We start from the raw sequence: 21555 nt of genomic DNA on the forward strand, positions 1-21555 counted from the left end.
ATATTGATCTTTTGTCTGAATGTTCTATCCATTATTGAAGATGGAATGCTGAAATTCCCTACTCTTATTGTGTTGCTTTCTATTTATCTTTTCAGTTCTGTCAATGTTTGCTTCATATATTTGGGTGGTCTGGTGCTGAGTGTGTATATATTTATACGTATTATATCTTCTTGGATGAGATGATGCTTTTATCATTATACAATGTCCTTGATTTTTGATTTAAAGTCTATTTTGTCTGATGCAAGTATGGCTATCTTTGCTGTGTTTTGGTTACCGTTTGCATGGAATATTTTTTTTCTATCCTTTCATTTTCAGCCTATTGTGTTTCTTTAAAGCTAAAGTGGGTCTCTTGTAGACAGCAATACTTGAGTCTTAAAAAATATGCTCAGCTACTGTATGTCTTTTGGTTGAAGAGTTTAATCCATTTACATTTAAAGTAACTATTGATAGGGAAGGACTAGGGCAATTTTGTTCATTGTTTTCTGTCTTGTAGTTTTTCATCTCTTTTCCTCTCTTGCTATCTTTCTTTGTATTTCATTGATTTTTTTTTATGGTGACATGTTTTGATTTTTTTTCTCATTTTCTTTTGTGTATCTACTATAAGTATTTTCTTTGTGGCTAAAATGAAACTCCTATAAATATATTTATAACAATCTATTTTAAACTGATAACTTCAATCACATATAAAAACTCTACACTTTTACTCCCCCTAGATTTTGTTATTGATGTTAAAAATTCAGTCTTTTCTATATTGCATATTCATTAATATATTTTTGAAGTTATAGTTTTTAAAAATATTTTTGTCTTAAAACTTCTATGCCAGAATGAATAGTGATTTAAACACTACTATTGTAGCATTTTCACCTGATGGACTCTTTCAGCATTTCTTGTAAGGCAGAACTAGTGGTAATGAACTCCCTCAGCTTTTGATTATATAGAAAAGTCTTTATTCAGTTATGAAGGGTAGCTTTGCCAGATATAAGATTCTTGGTTGGCATTTTTTCTTTTAATCCTTTGACTATATCATCTTACTCCCTTCTGGGCTGCAAGATTTCTGCAGAGAAATCCTCTAATAGTTTTATGCAGGTTCCCTTGTATGAAATGAGTTGCCTTTCTCTCACTGCTTTCAAAAATCTCTTGGTCTTTAGCTTTTGATAATTTGATTATGTGTCTTGGTGTGGATTTCTTTGGGTTTATCCTAGTTGAAGTCTATTAGGCTACTTGGATCTGGATGTCCATTTCCTGTCTCAGGTTTGGAAGGTTTTTAGCCATTATTTCTTTAAAGAAACTATCTGCTATTTTTCTCTCTTTTTTCTAATAATCTCATGATGTGTATATTGTTCGGCTTGACAGTGTCACATAAGTCCCTTAAGGTTTCTTCACTCTCTTTCATTTTTTTTTCTTTTTGTTCCTCTGATTGGATATGTTCAAATGACCTGATTATTTCTTCTGCTTGATCAAATCTACTATTGAACCCCTCTATTGAATTTTTTAGTTCAGTTACTATATTCTTTAGCACCATAAATACTATTTGGTTGAAAACTGTTTAAATCTCTTTATTGATATTTTAATTTTGTTCATGCATCATTTTCTTGAGCTCATAGAACACCTTTATGATGGTTATTTTGAACTCTTTTTCAGGTAATTTACCTCAATTATTTAGAATCCGTTTCTGGAGATTTAGTTTCCTTTTTGGGGAACCATCTTTCCTTTTTTTAATTTTATCTTATTATTATTACACTTTTAAGTTTTAGGGTACATGTGCACAATGTGCAGGTTTGTTACATATGTATACATGTGTCATGTTGGTGTGCTGCACCCATTAACTCGTCATTTAGCATTAGGTATATCTCCTAATGCTATCCCTCCCCACTCCCCCCACCCCACAACAGTCCCCAAAGTGTGATGTTCCCCTTCCTGTGTCCATGTGTTCTCATTGTTCAATTCCCACCTATGGGTGAGAACATGCGGTGTTTGGTTTTTTGTCCTTGCTATAGTTTGCTGAGAATGATGGTTTCCAGTTTCATCCATGTCCCTACAAAGGACAGGAACTCTTCATTTTTGGTGGCTGCACAGTATTCCACGCTGTATATGTGCCACATTTTCTTAATCCAGTCTATCGTTGTTGGACATTTGGGTTGGTTCCAAGTCTTTGCTATTGTGAATAGTGCCGCAATAAACATACATGTGCATGTGTCTTTATAGCAGCATGATTTATAATCCTTCGGGTATATACCCAGTAATGGGATGGCTGGGTCAAATGGTATTTCTAGTTCTAGATCCCTGAGGAATCGCCACACTGACTTCCACAATGGTTGAACTAGTTTACAGTCCCACCAACAGTGTAAAAGTGTTCCTATTTCTCCACATCCTCTTCAGCACCTGTTGTTTCCTGACTTTTTAATGATCGCCATTCTAACTGGCGTGAGATGGTATCTCATTGTGGTTTTTATTTGCATTTCTCTGATGGCCAGCGACGATGAGCATTTTTTCATGTGTTTTTTGGCTGCATAAATGTCTTCTTTTGAGAAGTGTCTGCTCATATCCTTTGCCCACTTTTTGATGGGGTTGTTTGTTTTTTTCTTGTAAATTTGTTTGAGTTCATTGTAGATTCTGGATATTAGCCCTTTGTCAGATGAGTAGGTTGTGAAAATTTTCTCCCATTTTGTAGGTTGCCTGTTCACTCTGATGGTAGTTTCTTTTGCTGTGCAGAAGCTCTTTAGTTTAATTAGATCCCATTTCTCAATTTTGGCTTTTGTTGCCATTGCTTTTGGTGTTTTAGACATGAAGTCCTTGCCCATGCCTATGTCCTGAATGTTATCAAGCTACCTGACTTCAAACTATACTACAAGGCTACAGTAACCAAAACAGCATGGTACTGGTACCAAAACAGAGATATAGATCAATGGAACAGAACAGAGCCCTCAGAAATAATGCCGCATATCTACAACCATCTGATCTTTGACAAACCTGACAAAAACAAGCAACGGGGAAAGGATTCCCTATTTAATAAATGGTGCTGGGAAAACTGGCTAGCCATATGTAGAAAGCTGAAACTGGATCCCTTCCTTACACCTTATACAAAAATTAATTCAAGGTGGATTAAAGACTTACATGTTAGACCTAAAACCATAAAAACCCTAGAAGAAAACCTAGGCATCTTTCCTTTTTTATTTGTGTTTCCTGACACCATGCATTTGAGAAAACTATGTCTTATAGTCTTTACAGGCTGGCTTCTTACAGACAGAGCGAGAACTTCACCAATCAATCTGACTGTCTGTAGTCTGGGGGCCTTTCAAGCCCTTTCTGTGGATGCGTCTTCTCTAGATGTGTGTGTGTGTAAATTCTCAATGAAAGGTCACAAAGATCATACATTGTATGATGCTGTTTGCATGAAATATCCAGAATAGGTAAATTTATACTTAGAGAAATCAGACTGATGGTTGCCAGAGGCTGAGAGGGAAGGAACGGGGAGTGAATGCTTAATGGATACAGAGGTTTCTTTGGTGATAAAAATGTTTTCATTTTTATCTAGAAGCTAGATAGAGTTGATGATTGTACAACATAGTGAATGTACTAAATGCCACTGAATTATACACTTTAAAATAGCTAATTTTTATGTTACGCATATTTCCTTATTATTAATTTATTTATTTTGAGATGGAGTCTCACTCTGTCGCCCAGGCTGGAGTGCAGTGGTGCAATCTTGGCTCACTGCAACCTCCGCCTCCTGGGTTCAAGCGATTCTCCTGCCTCAGCCTCCCAAGTAGCTGGGATTACAGGCACCCACCATCATGCCAGGCTAATTTTTGTATTTTTGTAGAGAAGGGGTTTCACCATGTTGGCCAGGCTGGTCTTGAACTCCTGACCTCAGGTGATTTGCCTGCCTTGGCCTCCCAAAGTGCTGGGATTACAGGTGTGAGCCACCATGCCCAGCCTGTGAATTTCATCTGAATAAAATAATGTGTGCGTTTATACGTATATAAAGAGATAAAACAATGGGCAAAAGATTAACAATTGTTGGAGGGTATATGGGTGTTCATTCAACTCTTCTTTTAGTCTAAAATATTTTAAGTAAAAGTTAGAAAAACGGAGAGAATACTTGGTGTTTAATTTTTTAGCCATTTCCATCATTTTCAGTTTATCTCTTCTGAAGGCAAAAAGTGATAGCTTATAAATTGTATAATGTCAGCATAAAAGATGAAATTAAGTCAATTCTAAAAAAAAAAACAACTAAAAGTGAGTAATTTTAAAAATATAGGTATCTTTCTGGTTAAGTTTTTCCAGTAGAATGCCAAATCTCTCGGTGTTAATGCACAAAGTTTATAAAATGTGTGTTTCTTTGAATATAATGTTCTCTGGCCTATGGTTTTATGGGAAACGTTTATATTTACATCTAAATAAATACAAGATTGTTTTTTGAGAGAGAGTCTCACTCTGTCACCTGGGCTGGAGGCAGCAATCATAGCTCACTGCAATCTTAAACTCCTGGGCTCAAGCAATCTTTGCCTCCCAATAAATACAAGATTTTACGTAAAATGACATGAAGAAAAAGTGTCCCAAGTGATAACAAAAGAGAGTGTGTGTCTCAGATATTGCTGGTCCTAAGACATGTTATCATAATGTCACACTCAGTGTGAAGCATTCTTTTTTTTTTTGAGTTGGAGTCTCCCTCTGTCACCCAGCCTGGAGCGCAGTGGCGTGATCTTAGCTCACTGCAACTTTTTTGTCCCAAGTTCAAGCGATTCTCCTGTCTCAGCCTCCCGAGTAGCTGGGATTACAGGTGCACACCACCACACCCAGCTAATTTTTGTATTTTTAGTAGAGACAGGGTTTCACCATGTTGGCCAGGCTGGTCTCGAACTTTTGACTTCAAATGATCCACCCTGCCTTGGCCTCCCAAAGTGCTGGGATTGCAGGGGTGAGCCACCACTCCTGGCCCAGTGTGAAGCATTCTATACTGTTGTGCTCTTGTCCTGAGTTTATTTCCCCAAGGCTTTCTATATTTTGGCAAAAGCAAAGGTTAATGTTCTGCAATGAGTTTCCCAAAAGCTGAGAGAGTGAAAGAAAATCTTGGAAAAGGAAGCCATGAAGAGAAATATGACCTCATATCAAACTAACCATTTCATTTTTTTGGTTAACAGGAAGCAGTATTTTAAATATTTCATATCCTAACATGACAGTTTGTTACTGATTACTGATACACAAGCCTTTTACTAGTTTCAGCTATATTCCAGGAAATTATTTGAGACTTTTGGGTTGAGGTACAATACAGCCTTTTCACATTTGAAATAATGGAATATAGAGTCCCAGTGGACAATTTTGTGAGCATCTGCTTTTCAGAAACGTATAATTGACATTAAGCAGGAGTTACCTCTATCAAGACAATGAATGTGGATGGCACACAGCAATGGCAAAAAATGGAGCTGGAATTCAGAGGATTAATATTAATCCTTTATTACTAATAATAATTTATTAATATTTGAGGCACATGTCGAGAGTATTAACATGTTTTCTCTGTCATGTTTTCTCTTCCCTTGTTCTTTATAATGACATGGTGTAGTCAAAAACAATTTTCATGGTTTGTTCTATATATTTCTATACCCTTTCATCCATCATCAATTCATCCTCCACCCCTCCATCCCTTCACTCATTCCTCTACCTATCCATCCATCCATCCATCATCCATCCCTCTAACCATTTATCTATCCATCCATCCATCCATCCATCCATCCATCCATTTATCCATCCATCCATCCATCCATCCATCCATCCATCCATCCATTTATCCATCCATCCATCCATCCATCCATCCATCCATCCATCCATTTATCCATCCATCCATCCATCCATCCATCCATCCATCCATCCATCCATTCATTTATCCATCCATCCATCCATCCATCCATCCATTTATCCATCCATCCATCCATCCATCCATCCATCCATCCATCCATCCATCCATTCATTTATCCATCCATCCATCCATCCATCCATCCATCCATCCATCCATCCATCATTGGTGCCAGTCAATTTGTGCTAGGTGTTGAGCATCCAAATCCCACTGCTCATTTCTCCATATCTTGATTTCTTTTTCTAAACTCCTGTCTGTTTCAGCCCTTCCTATTTAGTAAACATTAATGTGTCCATGTCCCTTGGTCACCAGTTATACAAAAATGAATAATTGCAGGCTCTTGCCATTGAGGAACTCATGGTCTATGGCAGTGCCACTCAAATTGTGGTCCATGAACTGTTACTGACCCTTGTGAAGAAATTAATCTTGGACTAAAGCAATTCTTTAACCTCAGCCTCCCAAGTATCTGGGAATATGGGACTACAGGTGTGTGCCACCATGCCCAGCTAATCTTTAAAAAATGTTTTTGTAGAGGCAGGGTCTCTCTATGATCTATCTGTCTCTGGACCATTGCTTTGCCTGAGTCTTGGAAGCCCCTCAAGGATGGAACTCAGTGGAAGAAATGTCCTGACCAGGGAATCTGCCTCTTGGCTGTGCCACCACCATCACTGCCCCAGTATTTAATGCAGAAAAAAATCTCCTGGACATCAGATTTCCTTTGGAACATGAGGGTCCCTTTGTAGTAATGGATTCCCTCATCTCCTTTCTCTTCTTAGATCCAAGCAAAAGGACTTGGGTATCTGCCATATCCAATTATCTGCATCAGTGTTGCCCATTTTCCCCATGGTTAATTGAGAGATGAGTAAATGTTTTTCCACAATCCTCCAGGGACAATCCAAGTATCATGGGCTCTAGGCTCCCACTGAAACTATTTTTTTTTCCTAACAGAAAGGGAGACCCAGAGGGGTTCTGATGCAAAAGCTGTCCCTGGAGCCTCGATCCCCAGACAAGGATGTCTATCTTTGCATAGACCAAGGTGGCACTGATTAAACCCAAGATGCTGGAGCCTGGGGAGGTTTTTTTCAGGAGCTGTCTTGCAATGAAGGGAGTTGACATGCTCATGGGGCATTGAGAGGGATCCATCACTCTGTCTGCACACAGACCTTGGTGACTGGGGGTGAGAGTTTGGAACCCAGCCTTGTGGAGATCTTGGGGGTCTGGGCATAATTTAGAGACTAGTATTAGTGGCAAGATGGGCCCCCAGAACTGCTGGTATTGTGTTTCACAAGCTCATTGGGTTGAGCTTGTACAGGTATTTGGATGGAAAGATGAATTTTTGTCTACCTCTTGGACATTTGCCAACCTGCACGCTGGATGCATCTTACCTTGTCTGTTATTGCTGCTGTGAATCCAAGCAGGCTGGACCTCTAGATAGCAGAAGGTCACCCATGTTGACGTTCATTCCAAACCTTCCATAAAATGTGCTGGAAGCAGCAAGGGGTGGGCACCTCACCTTGGCCATGGGGCCGGGACTAGAACAACCCATCTGGCATGGGCTGGAAGCACCTTCAGCTCACTTTCTGGAGACTGTGACCATCCTACAACAGTGATGCTCTGGAGGAATTCTCAGCTCAGAATTCCAGGGAAGATGAGTTGAGTGTTAAGTCCAAGAAAGAGACAGTGTCCAGAATAGAGACAGCTCAGGATCTGAAATCAAACTGGGTTCAAATCCCAGTCTACCCTCTTCTTAGCTGTGTGACTTTAGGTAAGTCACTTACCCTCTCTGAGTCCATTTGTCTTTAACTTTAGTTCCAACAATCATTATTTCCCTTGCAGGACGTATTCATTTAACAACTATTTACTGAGCAGGCTCTGCTGTGGATCCTTGAGATGTGAGAATGTGAGAAATAAATAAATAATATAAGTGAATTAAATTATTTTATTAAGTAAATTATATTATATATTAAATTAAATAATATAAGTGAATATAATATAAGAGAATGTGAGAATTTAATAAATAATATAAGTGACAGTTTGTCCTGCAAACTGTCATGTGATCATTTGGCTACTAAAGTGACCAAGAGTCCAGATCATGCCTGGTCATAACGGACTGATGTGAGTTTTATTGGCAACAAGAAGATAAATAATGTAGCTCCTTTCTTCTGGTCACTCAGTGTCAGCAAAGGGACCACTCTAGACCCACATTTTGGCATCCCTGAGGAAAACGGGAAAGGGACAGGTAAAACCACAACTTTAAAACTTTTCAAAGGGACTCTCCTCCCACCCAAAGAAGGACTGATTTAGGAATCACTGTGAGATGTTCCAGCCCAGATTAGAGTAAGTCATGGCTACTTTTTCCAGCTCTGCCTGTCTGACTGTGGGGCAGCAGGTGAGAGAGGTTGGATGGGTGGAACATTTTTTTCTGAAAGAGATTTCAGTGGGAAACAGTGTGCCAAAAGCTCAGGACATAATCCCAGCACTTTGTGAGGCCAAGATGGGGAGGTATTATTTAAAACTGGGATTAAGGGACCAGCCTGGGAAACATAGCAAGACCGCATCTCTACAAAAAAATTAAAAAATAAAAATTAGTCAGGTGTGGTGGTGCACACCTGGAGTCCCAGCTACTCGGGAGGCTGAGGCAAGAAGATGGCTTGAGCCCAGGAGTTGAAGGCTGCAGTGAGCTATGATTGTGCTACTGTACTCCAGCCTGGGTGACAGAGTGAGGCTCTGTTCCCTCTACCAAAAAAAGCTCAGGACACAAAGGCATTACAATGGAATTAGAGGAACTGCTAGAGATCCCCAAAACCAGGGGTTTTTATTTTTTTCAGATGCATCAAAGACAGTGGGACCACCTGGGCACCCTGAAAGGAAAGGTGAGTTTGGGGGCACACAGGAGTGTTGCCTGGGTTTCTGCCTGCAATCATGTTTTATGTCTTACTCTTGGGTGGATTCTGTTATCCACCAGTCCATACAGTCCGGATGCTCTATTACTTCTGCCTGGAATAAACTTCCCTCCTCTAGCTCTCTGGAAACCTTCCCTCCTCTACCTGACCTTCAAAACTTCCATGCCTCCTTCTCTGTGAAGCCTTCCCTGATCCCATCCCAGGCAGAGTTTCATCCCCTGGGTACCCAAATCATCATGCATGTATTTTTATTACATTGCTCATCAGACTATGCTGAAATGAGTTGCACAATGTTCATGTTCTCTCTCAAACTCTAAATTCTATAACTGCAGGGCTAAATTATCTGACTCCCGTACATCTTTGGTTGACTCTGGAAAATGCCACCAATGAGGCACTCCATTTCATTTTTGGTTGGATTTTACACATACAGTGCGTGTGTGTGTGTGTGTGTCACCAGATAAGGGTCTGTGAAAACAGAAGAAGAATTACAGAAACCAGTGGTGGGGCGATGACACTGTTCTAGACCCAAATGTCAACCTGTGTGGTTTCTTCCCAAGAGTGCTCTGCAGTTTCAAGGCAGGTCCTGCAGAGTTGTTGGTGCAGAAGCCTTCCCCACCATCCCAAAGGGCCACAATGCCTGAAACCAGGGGAAATGCCAGTCCTAGAACAGTTCTAGGGTGGACCATTGGCCCTGAGGGTTGGCAAGTGTGGCTTCTCTACCAGACCAGGGTGGGACATGATCACCCATTAGCCAGAAATCATAACTTAGTGGTGAAGGGGAGTCTGTTTGTGTGTGTGTGTGTGTGTGTGTGTGTGTGTGTGTGTGTGTGTATGTGTGTGTGTGTGTGTGAAGCAAATCTTGAATATCTATTACAGTGTTTGGAGATGTGTGAAATGCCGATGCAAGAACAAGGACTTTGGAATTAAATCTCATTTTGTTAGAATCTTGACTTGGTTACCTTCTTGCTGGTTCATCCTGGACAAGGCACTGCACTTCTCAGATCTCTGTCTTCTCATCCCCAAAATTCATAGAGGTATTAATACCTATGGTCATTTTTTTTTAATTGAGAGAGGGTCTCACTCTGTGTTCTGTTGCCCAGGCTGGAGTGCAGTGGTGTGATCACAGCTCACTGCAGCTTCCACCTCCTGGGCTCAAGTGAGCCTCCCACCTTAGCCTCCCAAGTAGCCGGGACTATAAGCATGTGCCACCATGCCTGGCTAATTTTTCTATTTCTTGTAGAGTCGGGATCTTGCCATGTTGCTCAGGCTAGTCCCAAACTCCTGGGCTGGTCCCAGCCTCCCAAAGTGCTGAGATTACAGATGTGAAACACCACACCCAGCCTAATAGTGTGGTTATTGTTATTGTCATTGTCATCAAGGGCTTGCTGAATATTTCTATAACAGCTTCCCCAGCCACCTCCATTCCCACCATCCTCACTTCTCTTCCCAAAAACTTAGATTTGCATTTCATTCTTTCATTTTTTCCATTTTCGGGGCTCAGGGGTTGATGAAAGACAGATGCTCGACCACCTTCAATTATCCACCGACAGACTTCTCTTCATTACTGAGAATGGGGTACAAAAAGTGTGTCCTTGGGTAGGAGGTGATAGGCTTAGAGGAGCTGCCCAGCTCTCAGAAAGCTCTCCTTGCTTCCAAAACACAGCTGGAGGAGTGGGTGTGAAAACTATTGCCTGGGCTTCTGCCTGCAAGCCTATTTTATGTCTTACTCCTGGGTGCATTTTCTTAACCACCAGTCCATAGAGTCCAGATACTGTATTATTTCTGTCTGGAACAACCTTCCCTCTTCTAGCTCTCTGGAAAATTCCTACCTGACCTTCAAAACTCAGCTCCAATGCCTCCTTCTCTGTGAAGGCTTCCCAGATCCCATCCCAGGCAGAGTTTCATCTCCTGGGTACCAAAAATCATCATGCATGTATTTTTATTAAATTGCTCATCAGACTATGCTGAAATGAGTTCAACAATGCTCATGTTCCCTGTCAAACTCTAACTCTAAATTCTATAACTGCAGGGCTAAATTGTCTAACTCCCATACATCTTTGTTTTTCTTTTAATTTTTTTTGTGTTGGAGTCTCGCTCTGTTGTCCAGGCCGGAATACAGTGGAATGATCTCGGCTCACTGCAACCTCTGCCTCCTGGGTTTAAGCAATTCTCCTGCCTCAGCCTTCTGAGTAGCTGGGATTACAGGTGCCCGCCACCACACCTGGCTAATTTTTGTATTTTTTGTAGAGACAGGGTTTCACCTTGTTGGCTGGGCTGGTCTTGAACTCCCATCCTCAAATGATCTGCCCGCCTCAGCCTCCCAAAGCATTGGGATTACAGGCGTGAGCCACTACGCCCAGCCAAACTCCCATACATCTTTGATTGACTCTGGAAAAATGCTACCAATGAGGCACTCCATTCCATTTTTGGTTAGATTTCACTGTTAGAAAGTTCTTTGCTAGGTTGAACCACACAGCTGCCCTCATTAACATCCACCTTCCAGTAGTATAAAGCAGGCAATTCTACTCTTCCCCTCATGAAGGTCATCAGATAGCAAGGTCAGTGTATTAGTCTATTCTTGCATTGCTTTAAAGAACTATCTGAGATGATTGGGTAATTTATAAAGAAAATATGTTTCACTGGCGATGGTTCTGTAGGCTGTACAGGACGTATAATGACTTCTGCTTCTGGGGAGGTCTCAGGGAACTTACAATCATGGTGGAAGATGAGGGAGAAGCAGATGTCTTACATGGCAGGAGTAGAGGCAGAGGGAGGTGCTACACACTTTTTTTTGGTGGGTGGAGGAGACGGAGTCTCACTCTGTGCCCAGGCTGGAATGCAGTGGCACGGTCTCGGCTCACTGCAGCCTCCGCCTCCTGGGTTCAAGTGATTCTCCTGCCTCAGCCTCCCGAGTAGCTGGGATTACAGTCACCTGCCACCACACCTGGCTAATTTTTTGTATTTTTAGTAGAGACAGGGTTTCACCGTGTTGACCAGGCTGGTTGCAAACTCCTGACCTCGTGATCGGCCCGCCTTGGCCTCCCAAAGTGCTGGGACTACAGTTGTGAGCCATCATGCCTGGCTGGTGCTACACACTTTTAATGACCAGATCTCGCAAGAACTCACTCACTATCATGACCAAGGGGGATGGTACTAAACCATTCATGAGAAGCCACCTCCATGATCCAATCACCTCCCAGCAGGCCCCACCTCCAACATTAAGGATTACAATTCAACATGAGATGTGGGTGGGGACACAGGTCCAAACCATACCAGGCAGCTCTCACCTGTCTCAAGAGGCTTCCCTGACCACGTCTTGTAGTGTCCTTAGCTATTACCTACAGGGCATCCTGACCACTTCACCCCTGCACTTCCCCCTATCACAAAGGTCTTGTGCATTTATCTTCTTGTTGGTCATTGGTCTCCTGATGGAGATGGTGGAGTCCAGAGAACCGGGGATCTTGCCTGGATGATTCACCTCTGAATGTTTTATGCCCATTCTAGGGCATGACACATTTTGTTGAATGCATGGATGAATGGTAGAGAGGAGCTTGGATGGAATGAGAAAAATCAGGATGGCGTATAACTAAAGACAGCCTTGCAGGCCATCATCTGAGTGAGGAATAATTCCACAGGCAGCCTCATGACAAAGAGCTCCAGGGAGGCCTTCAGTAGAATCTACTTGCTCTTAAATGATCAGTCTTGCTGCTTTTTTCTTTTTTTTTAAATTTAACCCCATGCACTCTTTTATTTATTTATCTTTTTCTTAAAATTCCATTTTCCTTTTGAAACAGGGTCTCGCTCAGTCTCCCAGGCTGAAGTACAATGGGGTGATCATGCAGCCTCAGCCTGCTGGGCTCAAGCAATCCTCTTGCCTCAGTCTCCCAAGTACCTGGGATGACAGGCTTGTATCACCCCGCCCAGCTAACTTTTGTAATTTTTTTGTAGAGATGGAGGCACCCTATGTTGCCCAGGCTGGTCTCAAACTCCTGGGTGCAAGCGATCTTCCCACTGCAGCCTCCCAAAGTGCTGGGATTACAGACGTGAGTCAGTGCAGCCGGCCTCCATTGCACTCTTAGTAATGCCATGAAGCAGCCACTTTGGGCAGCTTTTTGTGTTGTCTGAGAGACACTCTTCCTCAGCCCCTGGTCACCTCTGTTGAAAACTCTTCCTGGCTGTCTGGCATGCTGGGAATCAGCTCTATTTGTTTTGCCCTGAAGATGTGTTTTATTCATAACTCACTCTGACTCCTTAGAAAACAATTCAATAAAAACTCAGACGAGTTAATGGGTGCAGCACACCAACATGGCGCATGTATACATATGTAACAAACCTGCACGTTGTGCACATGTACCCTAAAACTTAAAGTATAATAATAATAATAAAAAAAAACAACTCAGTTGAGGACGGGCACAGTGGCTCACGCCTGTAATCCCAGCACTTTGGGAGGCCAAGGCGAGCTGATCACTTGAGGTCAGGAGTTTGAGACCAGCCTGGCCAACATGGTGAAACCCTGTCTCTACTAAAAATACAAAAATTAGCTGATTGTGATGGCATGTGCCTGTAATCCAAGCTACTTGGGAGGCTGAGGCAGGAGAATTGCTTGAACCGGGGAGGCGGAAGTTGCAGTGAGCCAGGATCACGCCACTGTACTCCCGCCTGGGTCACAGAGCAAGACTCTGTCTCAACCAAAACAAAACCAAACCAAACAAAAAGAAAACACCTCAATTGGGTTGAGCAGGGATGAGGATGCTATCTTCCACTCACCTTGAGCAGGAATGAGAAATAGAATCTTATTTTATAAAACATACGAATAATAAAACAGCCCTGGTCATATAGCCCAAAGTGGATAAATACTGGCGTAAAGCAAAAGTGCTAGCTCAGACCATTTCTCTGAGAGAACCACTCCTGTCCTCTTTGCTTTTTCTTTTCCTTTTTAGCATGCTTCTTAACCATCCACAGTTGGGAAAGAACATTCACCAGGTCCTGCATTTTCCATTGCTGGAGTTGTGGGCACTGCATGGTCTTTCAGAATAATCTGGCTTTGTCTGGGAGCTTGGAGGTTGCCGAAGAGAGGAAGTATTCCTGATTTAAGTGTGCAGCTCTTCCTGGTTCTTGGCCATCCTTCTTGTTCACCTCATTCACTCAGGCAATACTTAGGGACATAAAATCTTCTAGAGCTAGTGTCTCATAGTAGTCCTTGAAATTGAGTCAGACTACCCACAGGCCGCTGCTCTCCCATCCAATGCAGTGAAGCCACCAGTAATAGCTGAGCTCAGCAGCAACTGCCCCTCCCCAGGCCATTCAACCCCCTCCTGCTGTCATTGTGCCTCTATGGTTTCCTTTCTTTAGATTTATACCCTAAATGTTTTTCTTCTGTTAAATACGTTTGGGGGTACATATGCAAGGTGTGTTACATGGATATATTGCATGATGCTGATTTGGGTTTCAATTGAAACTGTCACCCAAATTGCGAACATAGTACCCAATAGGTAGTTTTTTTTTTATGGTGAAAAGATATACATATATTTAGAATTAGCCAGCTGGACTCAGTTTAGATGATCCCAATTTTGTTGGCAACATCCAAAGCATCATAATCAGGAGCCAGTCGAACATATGCCTTCTTCTCTTCATCAGGCTGAATCAGGGTGTTGACCTTGGCCACATCCATGTCATAGAGCTACTTCACATGCTGTTTGATCTGGTGCTTGTTGGCTTCAATGTCCACAATGAACGAAAGTGTGTCATTGTCTTCTATCTTCTTGATGGTGGACTCAGTGGTCAGCGGCAACGTGATGATTGCAGAGTGGCCAAGCTTGTTTCTCCTGGGGGTGCTCTTTCGAGGATATTTGGGCTGCCTCCGGAGTCACAGTGTCTTGGGCTGCTGGAAGGTGGGTGACATGTGGGATCTTTTTTTTAGTGGCTGTGGACACCTTTCAACACTGCCTTCTTGGCCTTTAAAGCCTTCACTTTGGCTTCGGCTTTAGGAGGGGCAGGAGCTTCCTTATTTGCTTTCGGCGCCATCTTGTGAAAAGGGCCCAATAGGTAGTTTTTTAACCCTTGCTTCCCTCTGAAGTCCCCAGTGTCTGCTGTTCCCCTATTTATATTCCTGCGTACCCAGTGATTAGCTTCCACTGATAAGTGAGAACATGTGGTATTTGGTTTTGTTTCTGCCTTAATTCACTTAGGATAATGGGCTCCAGTTGCGTCCATGTCACTGCAATGAACAGGTTTTTTTTTTTTTTTCTAAGACAAGGTCTTGCTCGGTGGCCCAGGCTGGAGTGCAGTGATGTGATCATAGCTCACTGCAGCCTCGACCTCCCAGGCTCAAGTGATCCTCCTGCCGTAGCCTCCCCAGTAGCTGAGACTACAGGCAGTCACCACCAAGTCGAACTTTAAATTTTTTGTAGAGATGGTTTTTTTTTTTTTGACGGAGTTTTGCTCTTGTTGCCCAGGCCAGAGTGCAATGGTGCGATCTCGGCTCACTGCAACCTCCGCCTCCTGGGTTCAAGCGATTCTTCTGCCTCAGCCTCCCGAATAGATGGGATTACAGGCATATGCCACCACGCTCAGCTAATTTTGTATTTTTAGTAGAGATGGGGTTTCTCCATGTTGGTCAGGCTGGTCTCGAACTCCTGACCTCAGGTGATCCACCCGCCTCGGCCTCTCAAAGTGCTGGGATTATAGCCATGAGCCACCATCCCCGGGCTCCAAGATGGGGTCTTGTCATGTCACCCAGGCTGGTCTTGAACTCCTGGGCTGAAGTGATCCTCCTGTCTTGGCTTCTTAAGGTGCTAGGATTACAGGCATGAGCCACTGTGCCCAGCCAATTGTATTCTTTTTTATGGCTGCATAGCAATCCATGGTGTCTATATACTACATTTAAAAAAATCCAGTCCACCACTGATAGGCACCCCGGTTGATTCAATTTCTTTGTTATTGTGAATAGTGCTGTGATAAACATGCTCATTTGGTAGAATGATTTATTTTCCTTGGGCATTCCCTCAATTTGATTCCAGTGCTGGCTCATCACAGATTTCTCTTTGCTTCAGATTCTCATCCACGCATTTAGACCCAAGCAAGCCCTTCTCTCTGTTTTCTTACTTAGCTTGTTGCTTCAGTTTCATCATCCCGTTTCACCTCCCAGCCCTTTTGGTATCTGACCTCAGCTTTGGTTAAGGACCCCTGGGATGAGGGGTATTGAAGCATTCCACCATCTATGTGGCTGTCTTTAACTTGAACCGCATTTTTTTTTTTGAGATGGAGTCTCGCTCTGTTGCCCAGGCTGGAGTGCAGTGGCATGATCTCGGCTCACTGCAACCTCCACCACCCGGGTTCAAGCAATTCTCCTGTGTCAGCCTCCTAAGTAGCTGGGATTACAGGCGAGTGCCACCACACCCAGCTGATTTTTGTACTTTTAGTAGAGACGAGGTTTCACCATATTGGTCAGGCTGGTCTCGAACTCCTGACCTCGTGATCCACCTGTCTCGGCCTCCCAAAGTGCTGGGATTACAGGCGTGAGGCACCACGTCCAGCCGAACCTCAAATTTTTCACTATAGGGAGCAGTGGGTAGCTCTTCATTGGAGTGTGGCCAAGCGTCTCATTCAGAGATGCCAGCTGCTTCTTTCCCATCCCATGCCTTGGATAGACACTAACTGATTAAGTTTTCTCCCTCCAGCCTACTGATTCTAGCTGCAGCCTCATTACTCTTCTCAAGACACCATCCCAGGAAGCCACTACCAATCAATGATGATTGGCATGTGAGATGAAAATTATTTGCCACCCCATGCAGGCTTCTTGCCATAGTTCAGCTGTTCTTCCTGCAGCTAAAGTGCATTGTGTAAAACATGGGGGATGTGAATCAGTCGGTGGCCTCAGACTTCATTCTGGTGGGCCTCTTCAGTCACTCAGGATCACGCCAGCTCCTCTTCTCCCTGGTGGCTGTCATGTTTGTCATAGGCCTTCTGGGCAACACCGTTCTTCTCTTCTTGATCCGTGTGGACTCCCGGCTCCACACACCCATGTACTTCCTGCTCAGCCAGCTCTCCCTGTTTGACATTGGCTGTCCCATGGTCACCATCCCCAAGATGGCATCAGACTTTCTGCGGGGAGAAGGTGCCACCTCCTATGGAGGTGGTGCAGCTCAAATATTCTTCCTCACACTGATGGGTGTGGCTGAGGGCGTCCTGTTGGTCCTCATGTCTTATGACCGTTATGTTGCTGTGTGCCAGCCCCTGCAGTATCCTGTACTTATGAGACGCCAGGTATGTCTGCTGATGATGGGCTCCTCCTGGGTGGTAGGTGTGCTCAACGCCTCCATCCAGACCTCCATCACCCTGCATTTTCCCTACTGTGCCTCCCGTATTGTGGATCACTTCTTCTGTGAGGTGCCAGCCCTACTGAAGCTCTCCTGTGCAGATACCTGTGCCTACGAGATGGCGCTGTCCACCTCAGGGGTGCTGATCCTAATGCTCCCTCTTTCCCTCATCGCCACCTCCTACGGCCACGTGTTGCAGGCTGTTCTAAGCATGCGCTCAGAGGAGGCCAGACACAAGGCTGTCACCACCTGCTCCTCGCACATCACGGTAGTGGGGCTCTTTTATGGTGCCGCCGTGTTCATGTACATGGTGCCTTGCGCCTACCACAGTCCACAGCAGGATAACGTGGTTTCCCTCTTCTATAGCCTTGTCACCCCTACACTCAACCCCCTTATCTACAGTCTGAGGAATCCGGAGGTGTGGATGGCTTTGGTCAAAGTGCTTAGCAGAGCTGGACTCAGGCAAATGTGCTGACTACATAGAAACTGCTGGTGAGATTCCAGCGGTCCTCGATCCCACCCACCTTCCCAAAGTATGCATTTGGCATTCAATTGCCAATTTGTGCAACTGGCCAAATATCCAGCCATTGCCCAAGGTGCAACTTTTTGAGAAAATGTCTGCCTTTTAAATTGAGGTAGAATACACGTAACATAAAATGAGCCACTTTGAAGTGTAAAATTCAGCTGCTAAGTGCTTATGTCCAAGGCTAAGTGTCTGCCCAGTTCCTCCCTGCTCACGCCGAGTTCCTCCCTGCTGATGACTAGCTGGGTTCATGTTTTCCCTCATGGACTTGTGGAAAGCAATGGTAATCATCCCAATCACATTCAGCATATTTTTTTTCTCTCTCTTTTTTTTCTTTTTGTAACGGGGTCTCACTCTGTCGCCCAGGCTGGAATGCTGTGACATGGTCATAGCTCACCGCAGACTAGAACTCCTAGGCTCAAGGGGTCCTCCTGCCTCAGCCTCTTGAGTATCTGGGACTACAGGCATGTGCCACCACGCCCAGCTAATTTTGTTCATTTTTTGTAGAGATGGGGTCTCATGATGTTGCCCAGGCTCGTATTGAATTCCTGGACTCAAGCAATCCTCCCATCTCGGCCTCCCAAAGTGCTGGGATTACAGATGTGAGCCATTGTGCTCAGACAGTATATTATTTCTGTAACAATGTACCCCCCCCCCCATTTTTTTTGAGATGGAGTCTCATTCTGTCATCTAGGCTGGAGTGCAGTGGTACAGTCTCGGCTCACTGCAACTTCCACCTCCCGGGTTCAAGCAATCTTCCCACCTCAACCTCTCAAGTAGCTGGGATTACAAGCGTGCGCCACCATGCCTAACTAATTTTTGTATTTTTAGTATGGATGGGGTTTCACCATGTTGACCAGGCTGGCCTCAAACTCCTGACTTCAAGTAATCTGCCCTTCTTGGCCTCCCAAAGTCCTGGGATTACAGGTGTGAGCCACCACATCTGGCCAGAAATATCAATATATTATAAAGCTAATATTTAAACATTATAAAGCTAACAAAACTCTGAAGAAGTGTCAGCACCAAAGCTGGCCCTGAGAAGAAAACAGAAAATAAATCAGGTGTAACTTAGATATTTTATTAAAATATGTATATTTACAGTGTCTACTGGGTGATAAGTAAAATATACAAATTAATTAAAAATATACAAGGAGCTCCAGTAACTCAGTAGGACAAAATCTTTTTTTTTTTTTTTTTTTTTTTTTTTTGAGACAGAGTCTCATTCTGTTGCCCAGGCTGGAGTGCAGTGGCTCGATCTCGGCTCACCTCCACCTCCACCTCCCAGGTTCAAGCAATTCTTCTACCTCAGCCTCCTGAGTAGCTGGGATTACAGGTGCCTGCCACCACCCCTGGCTAATTTGTGTATTTTTAGTAGAGACGGAGTTACACCATGTTGGCCAGGATGGTCTCGAACTCCTGACCTCATGTGATCCGCCCACCTGGGCCTCCCAGAGTGCTGGGATTACAGGTGTGAGCCACCACAAATCCTCACCCTGAAGCCCCACAAATTCACTCCATCTCCTCACCTTTCATTCAAGGTCACAGACTTGTTATCTACTTCCTGTGAGACCTGCTCCCAATCTGTCCTAACTCCCAGCTGTTCTTGTTCTCACCCCGTCTACCTGTGGTGGTGTGGTGGCTCATGACTATAGTCCCAGCACTTTGGGAGGCCGAGATGGGCATATCACTTGAGGTCAAGAGTTCGAGACCAGCCTGGCCAACATGGCGAAACCCCATCTCTGCTAAAAATACAAAAGTTAGCTGGGTGTGGTAGCGGGCACCTGTAATCCCAGCTACTCAGGAGGCTGAGGCAGAAGAATTGCTTGAGCCCAGGAGGCGGAGGTTGTAGTGAGCCAAGATGGCACCACTGCACTCCAGCCTGGGCGACAGAGTGAGACCCTGTCTTAAAATAAAAAAAGTTATAAACATGGAATCACCACACAACCCAACCATTCCGCTCCTTGGTGTATACCCAAAAGAAGTGTGCTTAAACAAATTCTTGCTCATGCATGCTCACAGCGGCCTACCTCTACAGCCAAAGGTGGAAAAAACCCAAACGTCCACTAATGGAGGAATGCATAAACAGAATCAATATAATGGAATGTTACTTGGTCATAAAAAGGAATGAAAGACTGGCTGTGGTAGCTTGCACCTGTAATCCCAGCACTTTGGGAGGCCAAAGTAAGAGGATTACTTGAGGCCAGGAGCTTGAAACCAGCCTGCTCAACATAGTGAAACTCCATCTCTACAAAAAGTAAAAAAAAAAAAAAAAAGTCCAGGCTGTGGTGGCACGCACCTGTAGTCTTAGCTGCTTGGGAGACTAAGGCAGGAGAATCACTTGAGCCTGGAAGCAGAGGTTGCAGTGAGCCAAGATCACACCACTGCATTCCAGCCTGGGTGATAGAGTGAGACCCTGTCTTGCAAAAAAAAAAAAAAAAAAAAAAAAAAAAAAGAAAAGAAAAGCAAAAAAGATATCTGCTACCATGTATATAAACCTTGAAAATATTATAATAAATGAAAGAAGCCTGACACAGTAGATAGCATGTGGTATAAATTCATTTATATAAAGTATCTAGAATAGTTAAATCAATAGAAAGAGAAAGCAGATTGATGATGGCCGGTCGTAGTGGCTCATGCCTGTAATCCCAGCACTTTGGGAGGCTGAGGTGGGCGGATCACCTGAGGTCAGGGGTTTGAGACCAGCCTGGCCAACATGGTGAAACCTTGTCTCTCCTAAAAATAAAAAAATACAAAAATTAGCCGGGCGTGGTGGTGCATGCCTGTACTCCCAGCTACTCAGGAATCTCAAGAGAATCAACTGAACCGGGAGGTGGAGGTTAAAGTGAGTCGAGATTGCGCCATTGCACTCCAGCCTGGGTGACAGAGCCAGACTCTGTCTTAAAAAAAAAAAAAAGAAAGAAAGCAGATTGATGGCTACATGATCTTAGAGGTGGGTGCAGAGGGGAATTGGGGTTGATTACTTAATGGGTAAGAGTCTGATTTTGGGTGGCAAAAATGACTTGGAACTAGAGAGAGGGGACAGCTGGGGCATCACTTCATGAATGTACCAGATGCTGCTGATTTGTTCACTTTAAAATAATTAGTGTTTTATTATGTCAATTCCACCTCAATACCAAAAATTATTCTCAAGTTTGATATTAGGAAAAGAAAACTTAGAGCAAAAGCAATAACACAAAGCAGTAAATCGATGGAGGAACATTTGTTTTTAGAACCATTTCTGTCCTGAAAACCTAGTGTGTGATAAAGATAGAATTTCAAAACATCTCGACAATGATGATTTAATAAGAGTCCTGTGGACAATAGATTACACATGTGTAAAAGAATTTTGCTCGACTAACTTTTGAATTTAGGAAAACTCCTCAATATGTTAGAAATATTAATATATCATCAAGCTAATATTTAAACATTATAAAGCTAACAAAACTCTGAGGAAGCAAGAAGAAAACAAACTAAATCATGGGCAACTTAGATATTTGATCAAAATATGCACATTTACAGGGTCTATCAGGTGATAAGTAAAATATAGAAATTAATTTAAAATACAGAAGGAGCTCAAAAAACTCAATAGAACACAATCTTTTTTTTTTTTTTTTTTTCCTGAGACAGAGTCTGTTGCCCAGTCTGGAGTGCAGTGGAACAATCTCGGCTCACCCCAACCTCCACCTCCCAGGTTCAAGCAATTCTCCTGCGTCAGCCTCCCGAGTAGCTGGCCCTACAGGCACCTGCTACCATGCCCGGCTAATTTGTGTATTTTTAGTAGAGATAGGATTTCACCATATTGGCCAGGCTGGTTTCAAATGCCTGACCTCAGGTAATCTTCCCACCTCAGCCCCTCAAAGTGCTGGCATTACAGGTGTGAGACACCGTCCTTGGCCCAATAGGACAAAAATCTAATAATTAATAATTTGATTTTGAAAATGGGCAAAAGACATGAAT

General features: G+C 43.4%; 1 protein-coding gene and 1 pseudogene across 1 annotated transcript; one reads left to right on the forward strand and one right to left on the reverse strand.

Annotated features, from left to right (window-relative positions):
* The first annotated feature begins 7210 nt into the window (after positions 1-7210).
* OR2Z1 (olfactory receptor family 2 subfamily Z member 1) lies at positions 7211-17737 on the forward strand. Its single transcript, NM_001004699.3, has 3 exons — positions 7211-7619; positions 8683-8727; positions 16437-17737. Exon 3 carries the CDS (start codon positions 16606-16608, stop codon positions 17548-17550), a length of 945 nt encoding a protein of 314 aa, NP_001004699.1. The 5' UTR covers positions 7211-7619; positions 8683-8727; positions 16437-16605; the 3' UTR covers positions 17551-17737.
* On the reverse strand, positions 14263-14800 carry RPL23AP78 (ribosomal protein L23a pseudogene 78; annotated as a pseudogene).

Source organism: Homo sapiens, chromosome 19 (assembly GCF_000001405.40).
Source record: "Homo sapiens chromosome 19, GRCh38.p14 Primary Assembly".
NCBI classification, from domain to species: Eukaryota; Metazoa; Chordata; class Mammalia; order Primates; family Hominidae; genus Homo; species Homo sapiens.

Excerpts from the sequence above, each read along its gene's own strand:
- OR2Z1 (NM_001004699.3), top strand. The coding sequence starts at position 16,606 with ATGGGGGATGTGAATCAGTCGGTGGCCTCAGACTTCATTCTGGTGGGC.